Source organism: Homo sapiens, chromosome 8, assembly GCF_000001405.40.
Source record: "Homo sapiens chromosome 8, GRCh38.p14 Primary Assembly".
NCBI classification, from domain to species: Eukaryota; Metazoa; Chordata; class Mammalia; order Primates; family Hominidae; genus Homo; species Homo sapiens.
Window position 1 is genome coordinate 103,923,882 of NC_000008.11, and position 16,296 is coordinate 103,940,177.

At 34.0% G+C, this 16,296-nt stretch overlaps 1 protein-coding gene across 64 annotated transcripts in view; it reads left to right on the forward strand.

Annotated features, from left to right (window-relative positions):
• Positions 1-16,296, forward strand: part of RIMS2 (regulating synaptic membrane exocytosis 2) — a 755,485-nt gene that overhangs the window by 423,272 nt on the left and 315,917 nt on the right. For 52 of the 64 annotated variants that reach the window (NR_145710.2, NR_145711.2, XM_017014016.3 and 49 more), the window contains 2 exons: positions 7,382-7,512; positions 12,670-12,841. Coding sequence is in view for 62 of the 64 variants with exons in the window: in XM_017014016.3 (XP_016869505.1) it covers positions 7,382-7,512; positions 12,670-12,841 (303 nt within the window). In the remaining 2 variants the exon portion in view is untranslated. Of the gene's footprint in view, positions 1-3,960; positions 4,009-7,381; positions 7,513-12,669; positions 12,842-16,296 lie in introns of all 64 variants that reach the window. The other 12 variants (XM_017014015.3, XM_017014010.3, XM_017014009.3 and 9 more) reach the window with 1 other exon arrangement.

A 16,296-nucleotide genomic window follows, 5' to 3' on the forward strand; every position in this document is an offset into this window, starting at 1 on the left:
TTTAAACAAAACTAAAAAGAAATACTCTTTCGAATCCTGATTTTTCTCTTAGTAATATTGTGGACTTTTTCCTGTCCTTAAAAATTCCTCTTAAAATTGTTTTAATAGCCATTTTAATACTTCATTGCAACCTAAATCACTATTATAGGTTATCTTGCTTGTTTCTAACTTATATTTTTATGAATAATGATACTGTGGAAATCCTTGAATATAAATCTGGAATATTTTTGTTAGGACAAAATTCAATTGTCAGAATAACCTTCCAGAAATAAAATTACAATATAAAAGGCAAAGGAAAATTTTAGGATTCTTGAAATCTATTTTCAAATTTTTCCTTCAGAAATGATTTTACCTAATTAAACTCCAATCATCTACTTAAGAAATATATGTTAAGTTTTGACCCCCACATCAGGTATAGTGCTAGTCACTGCAAATACAAGTTTTTACCTTCATGTAATTTATGAATTTTATTCTTATATTTTTGCATCCAGGAAAACATAACTAAGATGCTATCTTGTATATAATAGTTCCCTTTATATTTAATCCTGTCTCTATCAGCCTGGAGACAATTTTGGTTTGCTCTAATGATGTAGAGGTTGGAAAAATATATCTACATATATCAACCCTAAGGAAAACTAGGAAGTCATAAACCAACATGACAATTCCTTTTTCATTCTTTTCTACCTTTGGACATTTTTGCTTTTGGTTAGTTTTTACTTGGGCCCATACTTCACTTACAAAATTATGAAACTGCTAATGCCTGAGAACAATGATAATTTCTATAGTATGTGAGCTGACCTTCCTAATATTCTGTCAGTTCATGTCTCAAATAGAAAATATATACATATAATATCATTCTCAAAGGAGGTGATTATAAAAAAACATGTAATGTAAATTCGTTGTTTACATTTTCATGCTCAAGGCTGTTGATTTTTTTAAATGTATGCAATTTATTTTTTCTCCATGCTTGAATTGTCCTGCTGCTTATTATTCTAGAGCATAACAGTGAAAATGCCATTAATGTTTTTGGTGAAGAAAATCAGCATGAGTTCGGGTTTATGCCAAGTAGGCTGTTTGTTAGCATTTTCACTGACAGCACTCCCTTATTAGGACTCCATTTTTAATATGTGTTCTTCCAGAATTTAGCAGTTTTTTCCTTCTGTGGATTACTTTTGTAGTTCTTAATAGTTTTAATTAGTTTGTAGTCTTTGGCTAGTTTTATAATAGGGCGTTATAAGAAAATATAGCTTTCAATTATTTTCAAAGTGAGAAAAGGCTCAGAATTCTCTTTCTGTGGAAACATATTACACAGTTGATACTATTGATAATCATATTTTATTTCATTCACTTCATGATCTGTGGTTGATTTACGGTTGCAGTGTTTTTCCAAGTTACTTTTAAAAATATCTTTTGACTCCATTTTAAGTAAATATTACAAATATCCATTTTATATGCCCATTTAAAAGGAATACATAATTTAAGGAGAGGTATGTGTCCTTTCTATCTCCCTAGAAACTCCATAGCCTTTTAAAAACTTTCTATAAATGACAGGTTTTTTTGAGCTTTTATCTTTTACATTTCATTGTCATAACTTTGTTATTCTGAAAGTATTGTATGAAAGGAATGTTCTAAAGATAGTAGTGCAATTAATAGTGGAAAGTGACATTAAAAATGCAAAATGAATTGTGGGGTACAAATTCAGATTCTTCATTTGTATGAAGCCTGAATTGTTATAGAGATCATCAGGTCTCTCATGCTTACAATAAATGAATTAATAGTAATTACAAATTACAGTGAGACACATAGTAGTTTGCCATCCCTATCTGAAATATCCATAGAGACAGAAAGCAGTGGTTACTAATGGACAGCGAGATGGAAAAGTAGGGAGTGATTACGTAAAGTTCAGAGTGTTCTGGGATGATGAAAATATTTTGAAACTGGAAGGAGGTGGTGATTCCACAGAATTCTGAACACAGTAATTGCCACTGAATTGTATACTTTAAAATAGTCAGTTGTATGTTTTGTGAATTTTACCTTAATTGAAAAAATATTGTCAACGCAAAAATATATTTTTATAGCCATATTTAAAATATAAACTCATGGGTGAAGATTAGGTGTAAATTGCCATAGGTTTCAGAAGGTTGATTTCAGAAGTCTGTGAGATGCATGTCTGAGTTCATTTTAGAACATGGAAAAATGTTTGCTTTTAAAGGATTAATTTATTTGAAAGTATTCCTTTTAAAGTGAATCTTTTATTTTATGACATAATATTTACTTGTAAAAATATTCTGTAACGTTAATATTTTTGGTCTAAAACAAAACAGGTAGGAAGACAGGGGAAATAAAATGTATTTCTAAAGTACCTTGTTTAGTCCCTTTCTTCAACATGCCAAATTTCTCTATGAATTTCATATATCCCCTCTGTCATTTGCTAAAGCATTATAATAGCCTGTGGTTATGCCAACAGACATCAGTAACACACTCCACATCTGAATATTTCTTTCTTCCTTTGGGAATATTTCCACATAAAAAGGAAGACAGCTTAGATTTGAAACTGCCTTGGTTTTGAAAGAGACAGAGACAGAGAGAGAGAGATTGAGAGAGAGAGAAAGATGACTCATGACTGAATGACAGTCTGCTTTTAAGTCTGCTTTCCTTTGGGTTTTAGATTTATGTCTTAAATAAACGTGTCTGTTCAATGCCAACTGAATTGAGCAAAAGTACTCCTAGTACTCATTATCTGTTTCCAGTTAGCAGTGGAAAGAGAGAAGCCTTTAACTATTTATGATTTTGAAGTAGGCAAGAGAGACATCCATAAGAAATGTGAGGAATGGGATGGAATCTTGGTGATAGAAGCAGAATTAAATGCCTTGAAATCCATTCCCAAACCTGATTATGTTCTGATTAACTGTTGGAATGCCTAATAAAGGCACAACATTCTGATTATTGTGATGTCTTTTGGAAACTGTTTCAACATGAAAACAAAAGTCAGTAAGAGAAAAGAAATTTGATTTGATTCTGAGAGTTTGATTTAGTTATTTAATTAGAACTGGGTTATATTTTCTGTCTTTACACTATCTTGCTTTTTGTTTGAGTATGGGCAAGTATGACTAGCCCTTTTCTGTGTTTCCTCATCTACAAATTGTAAGTAGAAGCAACTACCTCATAAGGTTGTTGGACATACCATGAGGCAATAAACTTACAATAAACTGTCAATAAAGGCTTGGAAAAGTATAACGAACTGTATAAGCAAAAAGAAACAAGATATTGTCATTAATAGGTGTGATTAGCAGTAAGCAGTGTTATCTTGAGTGATACATAATAAATATCTGATGATGGTGTTTCAATACTAGAACCTGATAGGGATTCACCAAGTATGAATCAACTAATTAGTCCAACGTATTTCTGCACACTTTTATTTTAATGTGTTTATTCTTTTAAGAAATTCTAAAGCCAACTTGGCTAATAGTTTTTGGACTTTGGGTAGACATACTTTGGAGAAGTCACACAATTACTTCCACAGATGGCTTTTCACTAATGACTCTGTAATACATTTTCAACTAACTTCTTTTTGCACTATTCTATTTTTTATGTAGTGTGTTTAAGGATAAAATATGAAATTTATTGATTCTTGGGTTATGCTTATAATCATTCTTTCAAAGTACATGAGCCCAAATATATTATTTTATATCCAGTCTTAATTCTTGTTATGTGAACTACATTTGAAAAATTGGATTATACAAATTCTAATATTTTGTATAGTTTTTAATGTTTTTTGGCATTGGACAAAATTAATTTATTCATCACACTGAAGTACTTAATTTTGATAAATATTGTCATGGAAAAATTGTATTTAAGGGATAGTTGTATGTGTTTGTTTTTACTTTTGGTCTTTTAGTTCCAGCGTGTTGTCCTTTTTGGTTTTGTTTTATTGCTTTTTTCTTTAATTTTGCTTACCAGAGCCAAAGCCTTAGTAGAAGAACAACGCCTTTTGTTCCTAGGGTTCAGGTAAAGGCCTTGTCTGCCTGATAGAAACTAAAGTTGTGTTTAACCCTATTTGTATGTTTTTGGAAAATGCGTTAGTAGGAAAACTTTTTTTGTTATGTTGCTCCAAATCATATTATTGACTTTCAAATCATTTTATTAGCCAGCTTGTAAAATTTTGCATGGGGATTAGAATATTGAATAAAAATTTAAAGAGACAATCTTTGTTAGTGATTTTATATGATAAACTAAATATTAAACCTTATAGATTTCAAAATGGCATTTAATGTAGATTTAATGTAGATTCTACATATATATGACATTTACAGAAATAGCTAATTTTATGCTGTTGATATTTTCCTTTATTACACTAAGGTTGCTGTCTCTTTAAATCACTCATTATGTCACTTAACATCTATATTCTCTTGCATTTTCCAAGTTATAACTCCTTGAGGAGATTGGCAAATAAATTTGTACCTTACTTAAAATATGAATTTTACACATATTATATATAAGGTTCAGTTTTTGGAAAGTATTTTGCTTTGAAAGAACAAAATTATAATCCAAATAAAATAAGTTGGATTTATTTTGTTAACATTTTGCCATTGTTTTATTTAATTTTATGTAATACTTGGGTACAAGTTGTTTGCCTCTTTTCATTAGGAAACCCTTATATGGTAAAGTAATGGCAATATAGTTTTTTTTAAGTAGTATTATGCTCTCCTTGCTTTGCTGCATGTTGTTTTTAAAAAATTTGTTGCTTCTGAGTAATACTTATTTTGTTTAAATTTTTAAAATTAAATTATTCTTGTTAATATTATACAATATAAAATATTTACCTATGCTGCTTAGGTCCTACTTAGGAAAATTAAAAATAGTTACATGCTAAAGCCAGAATGAGAAATATTTTAAAACAATTTAAATTATACTAATATTTTTATTAATGAAATTGGGGCTGAACAGGAACTATGTCAGGACCAGAATTGTGAAGATATGTTTGTTATATTTGGGGGAATCAACAGCTATATTTTAAACACTTATTTAAAAAGCACAGATAAGAAATTAAGAATGTTATAAAGTGATGTACCTAATAAAATCTGTTTTGATTATGTGAACTGGATATCTATAAAAAACTTCAATGCAAGTCCTATAATATAAATAAAAATTAGTGCTATATTCAAATACTCAGTTTAAGGCAGTCTATTAAAAGGTGTAATTTTGGTCAAATAATTAGTAAAGTTAAAATATGCCTATTTGCTATTTAAATTACTTTAATATTTGCACATTTGTAATTTATACTTTAGTAAACTCTAAAATATTATACCAAAAATATGAAAGCCATATGTTTACTCTGTATGAGAAATTGATAATATTAGTAACTGATAATATTCAGGTTTTCCATGGCATAAGGAAATCTGAAAAGAATACTCTCTATCAGACTTTTGAAATATATATCTCAAATGCTAGTTTTAATGATTTTAAAGGAGAAAAAATGTTGATGGTGGAGATGGCAACAAGTACTTAGTTTAACCCCCCAAAAGGTTCTCATAGAAATCAATAATTTGCTCTAATAATTTTTAGCTTAGTCTCATAATAATTATTATTTGTTTCTTAAATGTAACATTTATTGGAAATAAATTGCAGAATTTTTTTTTCCTTTGAGGCCTTAATATTCATGTCATGACCCTCAGAGAAAGCTTTTTAATGTCTCAGAAAAAATGAAGCCATAAACTCTTTAAAACTGGTGAAAATAGAGAATACCATAGAAATCAGTTGGGTTTTTGTCACACATTTAGAACCATGATACTATCTATAACACCTCTTTGATCTCATATACAATTAAACACTCCTGCATTTCTTTCTTTGTTTTTCACTTATGTCTTTTGCCAGAAGAATAGTCTCTTTTTTGCCCGTTTTTCTTATCTGTATCTATGTTCTAATATTATTAGACAAGCAAATATTTGAACTGTTTTCCTTTAGTATTTTGGAGACTTTTTTCTTCAAGTTGTTAATCTCTTAATCTAAGGCAGTGGTTCTCAAATTTTAATGCACTTGAGGATCACCAGAGGACTTGTTAAAATCCAACTTCCAGGGCCTCATTCTGATTCAGTAGGTGAGAAGTGGGCCCCAGGAATTTATAACTTTATAATAAATAAGTGAGATAATACTGACATGGAAAGTTTATTAATCACAATTTGAGAAATACTTGTCTAGGGTCTATTTTTGTATTTAGCAGCTAAATTGGTAACTATAATTTAAATAATTTGGATATTTCTTACTCTTATTCCTATAAAAGGGCTGATTCCATTTGGCAAAAAAAAAGATAGAAATAATTTTATATACTTTTTTGGGCTGTCAGTTTACCTTTTCTGACTCAAAAGTTGCTCGGTGTCTCATACTCTAGGATATGAAGTGAGGGACTCGACAAAGCTATGTTGGAATTGGAACTGAACTGCCAGTGTTTCATGTATAACCAGTAGTGGTTTTTAACTGTTATTCTCAAGTTCCAAATTTCTGTCCATTTCAGTCTCAACATAGTGGTTAGGTATGTGCTGAGTTCTGGGCCAAGATATGGATCAGAGCCGTAATTATCATAGATCCTGACATAGAATCAGACAGCTAGGTGTGCAGGTGTGAGGTATGTGTGTGGGAGGTGATAACTGTTAAATCAAGTGAATTCAGCAGTTGGATATGAAGTTCCCTTCCCTAATTATGGCACAGGGAAATTGTTCTCATTTTCTTATCTCAAATAATAAAATGTACTCTTTTATCCTAAGGATATTATTCATCAACTTCACAAAAGAATGAGACTTAATGTCTGAATAAGGAAAAATTTTAAAGATGAATTCATTATCATTTTAAGTTCAAACTGAAGGAATCTATTGACTAAAGCTACTAGTAAATCCCTTTTGCCTATAATATTTTAAATGTTTTTAACTGTGAAACAACATAAAACATTTACTTAAAAATTCCCTATGAATGTTATATAAACAGGATACTATCTACTCAATTCATTTTGAGCACTTATTCTGAACTCAGTATTGTAGGGGAACCAAAATGAACTAGTGATTCTTGCATAAGTAAAGATACAGATCAGTCATTGTATATAAAGTCCTTAATTATGATAATGTAATTATTTGCATGTTAATAAGCAATCACATTAAGATAATAAAAAGCCCACATGCTTGATCAGTCAAACTGAAATGTCTGAATCATTCTTTTATTCATTGAAGTTATTATAGTATATCCTTTTATTTTAACTAGCCACAATTTACTAAGTAAAGTTTATATTCTGTGCTAATGTTATTGTAAGAGAATGGGGTGAAGATTGGAAAAGTAAACATTGTGTTTGTGTAGTAAATGTTTGAATTGATAAATGAATATTTTTGCTTTTCAGATAAAACTATGGTTTGACAAGGTTGGTCACCAATTAATAGTTACAATTTTGGGAGCAAAAGATCTCCCTTCCAGGGAAGATGGGAGGCCAAGGAATCCTTATGTTAAAATTTACTTTCTTCCAGACAGAAGGTAAGGATATAAAACAAAATAAATGTTCTGGAAAATAAATGAGAAAATGTTCATAGCAATGGGTATTTCAATTCTGTATCATTTATTGGTATCATACTAGTGAGATATGTGAAGTTTAACATAAACGTGATGTTCTTAGGAAACAAAATAGTGACAGTAAATAAGATTTTTTAAAACTCACATGTCGTATATGTGATTTTGAATATTAATTTTAGGCATGTGTGTATTATTTCTTGTATATATTTTCATTATTCAAAATCATTAAAAGTTATGCTTCCTAAAATCAAATTTTTAACACAAATTATAGAATCAAAAAGCTAAAATACTAGAATTTTTAGTCAAAAATACTAGCTTTTTTAGTAAAAAAGCTAAAAATACTACTAAAAAGTACTCATTTTAATACAATTTCTACTTCCTCTTACCAAGATATTATTTCTCTCTATTCTATAAATTTAACAAGTTGTTTTGTATCATCACCTTATATCGTCAAGAAAACTTACCACAAGTCCCAGAATCACCTTCTTCAAGCATTATTTGTTTTGTGTCTCTTCTAATCAATATAAATGGTATTGTTCTACCCTTATTTTTTTTTCTTTTTGTTCTACCCTGATTTGATTGGAGAAATATTTTATCTGAAAACAAATCTAATCACTCTGAATTTCAGGCATATAAAAAATAAAAGAGACTATTCAATAGGCATCATGAAAAAAGAAAGAAGAAATAATACCAGTTACCTTTCCCCAATTATCTGTCTGCATCCCTGCCTCCCACGGCAGAGTGCTCTCAAGATCTCTTTATTTTTTCTCAGGTTGAAAGTGGATAGGCACAGATGTGATGTTAAATATGTTTATACGCTTTTGGAATCTCATTGATTTAGTTATTTAGTTCAAGTAGAAAGTCAAGGTTGAGTTGGGTACCAAAGTGTCACCTGAACAACAATCTCAGCAAAGAAAAGGACAAAAGAATAGACAATGAACAAAGGCTTTGCATTTTATTTGATACATATTTTGAAGTCAAAGCTGTATATCAGATTCTTCAGGATATATCAAGATGCCACAACATCAAAAGTTATTAGAAACTGTTTGCTATATAATTTTATCTTATAAAGTTTGATTAAGAAAGCTGTTTTTAACAATTTAGGTTGTCTTTTGGAGAGAGATACATGTGGAACTATAAGGGAAGAGGTCATCCATAATCATCTATGCTTTTGTGCACATTACTTAAGTTTCTACTTACTCAAAATTTTGAAGAGAAACATATTTTTAAGACGATTAAAGTCTTGCAAATTACTGAATTTCTTTCGTGACTATTTTTGCTTAGTTTTATTTTTATGTAACCCCTCTTTCTGTATTCTGACCAGATAGAGCTAAAATGGAAGCTCTTCTAGGCTGGGTGCAGTGGCTCATGCCTGTAATCACAGGATCACTTGGGGTGAGGAGTTCAAGACCAGCCTGAGCACCGTAATGTGACCCTATCTCTATGGCCGGGTGTGGTGGCTCATGCCTGTAATCCCAGCACTTTGGGAGGCCGAGGCGGGTGGATTACCTGAGGTCAGGAGTTTGAGACCAGTCTGGCCAACATGGTGAAACACTGTCTCTACTAAAAATACAAAAAATTGGCCAGGCGCGGTGGCTCATGCCTGTAACCCCAGCACTTTGGGAGGCCGAGGTGGGCAGATCACGAGGTCAGGAGATCGAGCCCATCCTGGCTAACAAGGTGAAACCCCGTCTCTACTAAAAAATACAAAAAGTTAGCCAGGCGTGGTGGCAGGTGCCTATAGTCCCAGCTACTCGGGAGGCTGAGGCAGGAGAATTGCTTTAACCTGGGAGACAGACGTTGCAGTGAGCCGAGATCGCACCACTGCACTCCAGCCTGGGCAACAGATCGAGACTCTGACACACACACACACACACACACACACACACACACACACACACACACAATTAGCCAGGAGTGGTGGCAGGTGCCTGTAATCCCAGCTACTCGGGAGGCTGAGACAGGAGAATTGCTTTAACCTGCGAGGCATAAGTTGCAGTGAGCTGAGATTGCATGCGGCATTGCACTGCAGCCTGACAACAGAGCAAGAATCCATCTCAAATAAAAAAAAGAGTAAAAGATGAAATGGAAGCTCTTCTTAACCAGTCCTTTATATTCCGGATGTAGTATTTTTTATCTTTTGTCAACACCAAGGAATGTGAGAGGCATTTCAGTGTTTCCTTCTCAGATTATTTCTTAGCTGAGTTCCTTGTTATTTATCAGGAATTTGAAGATTCTTTAGATAAATTTTATAGCTTACTTTATTGATTAGGTTGTGTCAAGGTTTCATCTGTAATAGTGAAAAGAATTCTCTGCCTAACTCAAAAAGTTACATTATCATCTTAACAATTTTTTATTTGTGGTTGACACAAGTTTTTACACATTAATAAAGGATTGTTTGTGCTTTTGTTATGAATTATTAATTTTTTTGACAATTTTTTTGAAAGAAATACTTGAACAAGTAAACAGAAAACAATTGATGCCTTTTTATTGATGAGTCTTTTTAGAGGGGCCAGGGAGACTACATAGAAGAAATCTAGTATAGAATTTCAGTTAAGCCATGTGAAAATTATTTTCTAGGTAATGTACTGTGTACTCTAAAAAATAACTGGGCTTGTTTTATACTCTTTTTTTGTATCTTGAAGTTAGTTACTAGTTCAAATATATTTCTTCTTCTAATTTTAAGTAAAAACATCAAGTGTTTGCATGCTGTTACTAAATTACATTTAATGGAAACCAAAGTCCTAGTAACGTGAAAATAAATTTTTAAAAAAGGATTAGGTTGGATTTTATTTTTTAAAAAAAAGTTAACTACCTTCTTAGCAATTTGATGATTCATTAAAAGATCATTTATTTTATTATAATTAGGCTTTTATTTTAAAATGATCTCTATAGCATGCTTATTGATCTTAGTGTTTAAATATTTTTAGCAACTTTTCAGTGTTTGACTTATGCAGTATGCTTTGATTCTAAAGGCTTTATTTATACTTCTAGAGAAAGTAAAACTCATTTTTTTAACTTGCTGAAGATAAGGTTATTTTTCATAGTTCTTTTTGTGAATTGGTGCTTGGGTACATACTAAATTGCCTTATTAAATTGTAATCATATATAACTTATAAGAAACCTCAGAGATTGTCTATTCCTCTTCCTATCCAATATAGAAATCCTGTCTAAAATTTTCATTCTTTATCTGAGAACTTTTTTCTGTCCTTACGAGGAAGTTCATGACTTACTTTTCTTTTTCCTTTCAGATTTTGATATAAACCATTCTTTTTTTTTTTTTTTGAGACAGAGTTTCACTCTTTTTGCCCAGGCTGGAGTGCAATGGCACGATCTCGGCTCACTGCAACCTCCACCTCCCGGGTTCAAGCAATTCTCCTGCCTCAGCCTCCCTAGTAGCTGGGATTACAGGCACCTGCCACCGTTCCTGGCTAATTTTTTGTATTTTTGGTAGAGACGGGGTTTCACCATGTTGGCCAGGATGATCTCGAGTTCTTGACCTCGTGATCCACCCGCCTCGGCCTCCCAAAGTGCTGGGATTACAGGTGTGAGCCACCACCCCCAGCCAGATAAACCATTCTCGAATTAAATAGCAAGGCTCTGGTTAAATACTTTCATCCTGGCCTTCGTGGAAGGAACTTTATCTTTTGACAGGGTCTCAGAATTCATTCTTCGTCAATGATATATGAGTAGATGTTAAATAAATATTTGTTAAAGCTATAAACGAAAGGAGGGAGAGAAAGATCATACATCACAGTCCTTGTTTCAGATAAGTTATTCCCATACACATTATCACTTCTTTCCATGTATAGAGATAAAATCTCCTACATGGGTTTGCATTGTCATTTTTCTGCCAATGCCTTCGTGGTTAATAAAGCTACATTGCATGTTATCTTTTCCATGTGTATTAGCAAAATTCATTATTAATTAGTGTATTTAATGTCATCTTTCTGCCATGTTATATATGTGTGCTCTGGAAACATATAATACCTCTTCATCATTCAAGTAAAATCTATATTAAACTTAAAATTCCAATGAGAAGAAGTTGCATTACTTCCCAATTTCAGAAACAGTTCTACCCCTTCTTTGTTCTCTCTCCTCCCTGTTTCCCAAAACTCTTGGAACTGTGTTGTGCTGAGATAATTTGTAGCAGTTGATACTGTTCTAATTGGAGTTTGTCTGTCATTTTAAATAGTTCTCTTAGGTAGCTTAAATTGTATTTCCTAGAAAATTGTATTCCTATCCAGCCAGTGATCCTGTCTAATAAGCAAGAGTAATGATCTCCAAATAGGTTGGATGTACCCTAGGTGATATATAGGATAATCCTTTCATGGTCAGGAAGAAATATTTGAATGTTTAAAAATTTTTACTTTATTATTTTTGGTTTCTGTTTTAGTATATTTCCCAATATGGACAATATATTAGTATAACAGTATGGTAACACATGTACAGAGATATACAACGAAAAAGAACATGAAAACCTCTGAGCTGGCAATGCCATTTATTGGGATGGTTATCTTGCATTTTCAACCCACATTGTGGTGACTAGCTCACATAGAAATAAATGTACAGTGTTTTAAAATACCAGATGTATGTCAAATAAATATGAATTTCTTATATTTAAAAAAGTATCTTTATAAAAAATAAATTATCATTGGTCATTAGCTAGAACTTTATAGATAAGAAGTTGTGAATATCACAATTTACTCATCTTTTTGTAACATGACTTCTGTAGTTTAAGTGAATAGTATATGTAATGTTACTGGTTAATTATCATTTAGAAGATTTTCAATAGGGTGATATTTTAAAAAAATTATAGAGTTAAGATTCTCAAGTCTGGTTTTATTTAGATTTTGAGAAATATTCAGTTTTCAATAATATGTCATGGAAAAAATTTAACATTTATTGAAACATTGCTATTATTGTCATACCTATAAAGTGTGATATAGTATACACCTTAAAATTTTCATAATAATTTTAAAGGTTATAACATTTGCAATGTATGATAATTTTATGGTAAAACTTCACCTGACTTGTCTCCTGAGAAATTTTAAATTAAAAAATTTTAGGACAAAACTTATAGTTCTATGTAAGTTCATAATTCATTGTTTTTTTCCATAGTGATAAAAACAAGAGAAGAACTAAAACAGTAAAGAAAACATTGGAACCCAAATGGAACCAAACATTCATTTATTCTCCAGTCCACCGAAGAGAATTTCGGGAACGAATGCTAGAGATTACCCTTTGGGATCAAGCTCGTGTTCGAGAGGAAGAAAGTGAATTCTTAGGCGAGGTATCTGGAGTTGTTTTAAAGTTTATGCTATTCATGTTATCCTGAATACTTTTATTTATATAACTGTCAGTATAATTTCATTTGTAGAATAGGCCAGGCATGGTGGCTCATGCCTGTAATCTCAGCACTTTGGGAGGCCGAGGGGGGCGGATCACGAGGTCAGAAGATTGAGACCATCCTGGCTAACATGGTGAAACCCCGTCTCTACTACAGATACAAAAATAAATTAGCCGGGCATGGTGGTGGGCGCCTGTAGTCCCAGCTACTCGGGAGGCTGAGGCAGGAGAATGGCGTGAGCCCGGGAGGCAGAGGTTGCAGTGAGCCGAGATCGCGCCACTGCACTCCAGTCTGGGTGACAGAGCGAGACTCTGTCTCAAAAAAAAAATAATTAAAGATAAATAAATAAATAAATAAATAAATAATAGATGTAGAATATCTGCAAAGGTAGGCACAATTTCTTTAATGGAATGTATTTCAGCTGCTGCTTTAGGACAAAAGTTGATACTATAGAAAACAGTGGTTCTACGTATTCTGACAGTTTTTACATGTCAGTTCTTATTTTAGAACTCTCAGTGTTGAATGATAAAAGGTTTGTATTTCACAAATATATTGCTTTGTTTTATAGTGATATGTATATATCTTGGTAGTTTACTGAACAGACTGTACCACTAATAAGTAGTTAAACCATTTATTTATGAATTATTTTCAAGCCCTACAATGTAACAGGCACTGTGCTATAGACTGAGCGTTCAAAGGTAAATAAGGAGTGTTACTTACTTCAAGGAATTTACAATTCATTGGTGATACAGACACATGAATAGCAATTAGAATATAACATGCCAATTGATATGAAGAGGAAAATGCAATAGGAATACGTAATTGCTGTGCAGAGGAGGGCAGGTGGTCAAAGGAAGTCTTCACAAAGAGAGAGGAATTTAGCAAATTCAAGGGGAGTGAAATTCCTGAAGAGGAAATAAGAAGGCATCAGGGTGAGGAGATCTTGGTCAATTGCATTGAAATTGGAAGGGAATATGGTAAGAAATGAGGTTTGAGACTTAAACTGAGACCAGGGCATGTCCCTTAATATATAAACAAATTTGGATTTATCTGGTCGATAATAGGAACCAATGACTAATAACCAATTATCTCTTTCCCTTCTCTATGGAGTCTTGCTTTGTCACAGTGGCACAGTCATAGCTCACTGCTGCCTCAAGCTCTTGGGCTCAAGTAATTCTTCTGCCTCAGCTTCCCAAGTAGCTGGGGCTACAGGCACCCACCCCCATGCCCAGCTAATTTTGTTTTTTTGTAGGGATGGGGTCTCATCATCTTGCCCAGTCTCATATTTTCTTTAAAAAGAAAATGGTTCGATTGTACTTGAGAAAAGTATTTCCAGCTGTAATGTGGAGAATGATTGAAGAGGGGCAAGATGGGAAGCAATTATCCAGCTATTAGCATGCTAAGTTACTCACTTTCAGCTTTTTTCAGTGTGGTTGGTATATTAATTCATTTTCACGCTGCTGATAAAGACATACCCGAGACTGGGAAGAAAAAGGGATTTAATGTACTTACAGTTCACATGGCAGAAGGCAAGGAGGAGCAAGTCACGTCTTACATGGATGGTGGCAGGCAAAGAGAGAGAGAGATTGTGCAGGGGAACTCCTCTTTATAAAACCATCAGATCTCGTGAGATTTATTCACTATGAGGAGAACAGCATGAGAAAGACCCACCCCCATAATTTGATTACCTCCCACTGGGTCCTTCCCACGACACATGGGAATTGTGGAAATTACAATTCAAGAGGAGATTTGGGTGGGGACACAGCCAAACCATATCATTCCATTCTGTCCCCTCCCAAATCTCATGTCGTCACATTTCAAAACCAATCATGCCTTCCCAATAGTCTCCAAAGTCTTAACTCAGAATTAACTCAAAAGTCCAGAGTCCAGAGTCCAAAGTCCAAAGTCTCATCTGAGACAAGGTAAGTCCTTTCTGCCTATGAGACTGTGTAATCAAAAGCAAGTTAGTTACTTCCTAGATACAATGGGGGTACACGCATTGGGTAAATACAGCCATTACAAATAGGAGAAATTGCCCAAAACAAAGCCCCATGCAAGTCTGAAATCCAGTGAGGCTGTCAAATCTTAAAACTCTAAAATAATCTCCTTTGACTCCATGTCTCACATCCAGGTCACGCTGATGCAAGAGGTGGGTTCCCATGGTCTTGGGCAGCTCTACCCCTGTGGCTTTGCAGAGTATAACCCCCCTCCTGGCTGCTTTCATGGGCTGGCGCTGAGTGTCTGTTGGTTTCCCAGGTGCACAGTGCAAGCTGTAGATGGATCTACCATTCTGGGGTCTGGAGGTTGGTGGCCATCTTCTCACAGCTCCACTAGGTGGTGCCCCAGTAGGGACTCTGTACCGGGGCTCTGACCCCACATTTCCCTTCTGCACTGCCCTAGCAGAGGTTCTCCATGAGAGCCCCACCCCAGCAACAAACTTTTACCTGGACATCCAGGCATTTCCATACATCCTCTGAAATCTAGGCAGAGGTTCCCAAATCCCAATTCTTGACTTCTGTGCACCTGCAGGCTCAACACCATGTGGAAGCTGCCAAGCTTGGGCTTGCACCCTCTGACGCCATGGCCCAAGCTGTAGCTTGGCTCCTTCTTGTCACAGCTGGAGCAACTGGGATGCACATCACCAAGTCCCTATACTTGGTGTCACAGCACAGGGACCGTGGGGCCAGCCCACAAAACCATTTCTTCTTCCTAGGCCTCCAGGCCTGTGATGGGAGGGGCTGCCGTGAAGACCTCTGACATGCCCTGGAGACATTTTCCACATTGCGGATAGGCGATTAACATTTGGCCCCTCATTACTTATGCAAATTTCTGCAGCTGGCTTGAATTTTTCCTCAGAAAATGGGATTTTCTTTTCTATCGCATTGTCAGGATACAAGTTTTCCAAACTTTTATGCTCTGCTTCCCTTATAAAACTAAATGCCTTTAACAGAACCCAAGTCACATCTTGAATGCTTTGCTGCTTCAACATTTGTTCCACCAGATAGCCTAAATCATCTCCCTCAAGTTCAAAATTCCACAAATCTCTAGGGCAGGGGTAAAGTGCCACCAGTCTCTTTGCTAAAACATAACAAGAATCACCTTTGCTGCAGTTCCCAAAAAATTCCTCCTTTCCATATGAGAATAACTCAGCCTGGACTTTATTGTCCATATAGCTATCAGCATTTTGGGCAAAGTCATTCAACAAGTCTCTAGGAAGTTCCAAACTTTCCTACATTTTCCTGTCTTCTGAGCCCTCCAAACTGTTCCAACCCCTGCCCATTACCCAGTTCCAAAGCACTTCCACATTTTCAGGTATTTTTTTTAGCAGTGTCTCACTGTACTAGTACCAATTTATTGTATTAGTTCGTTTTCATGCTGCTGATAAAGACATTCTTGAG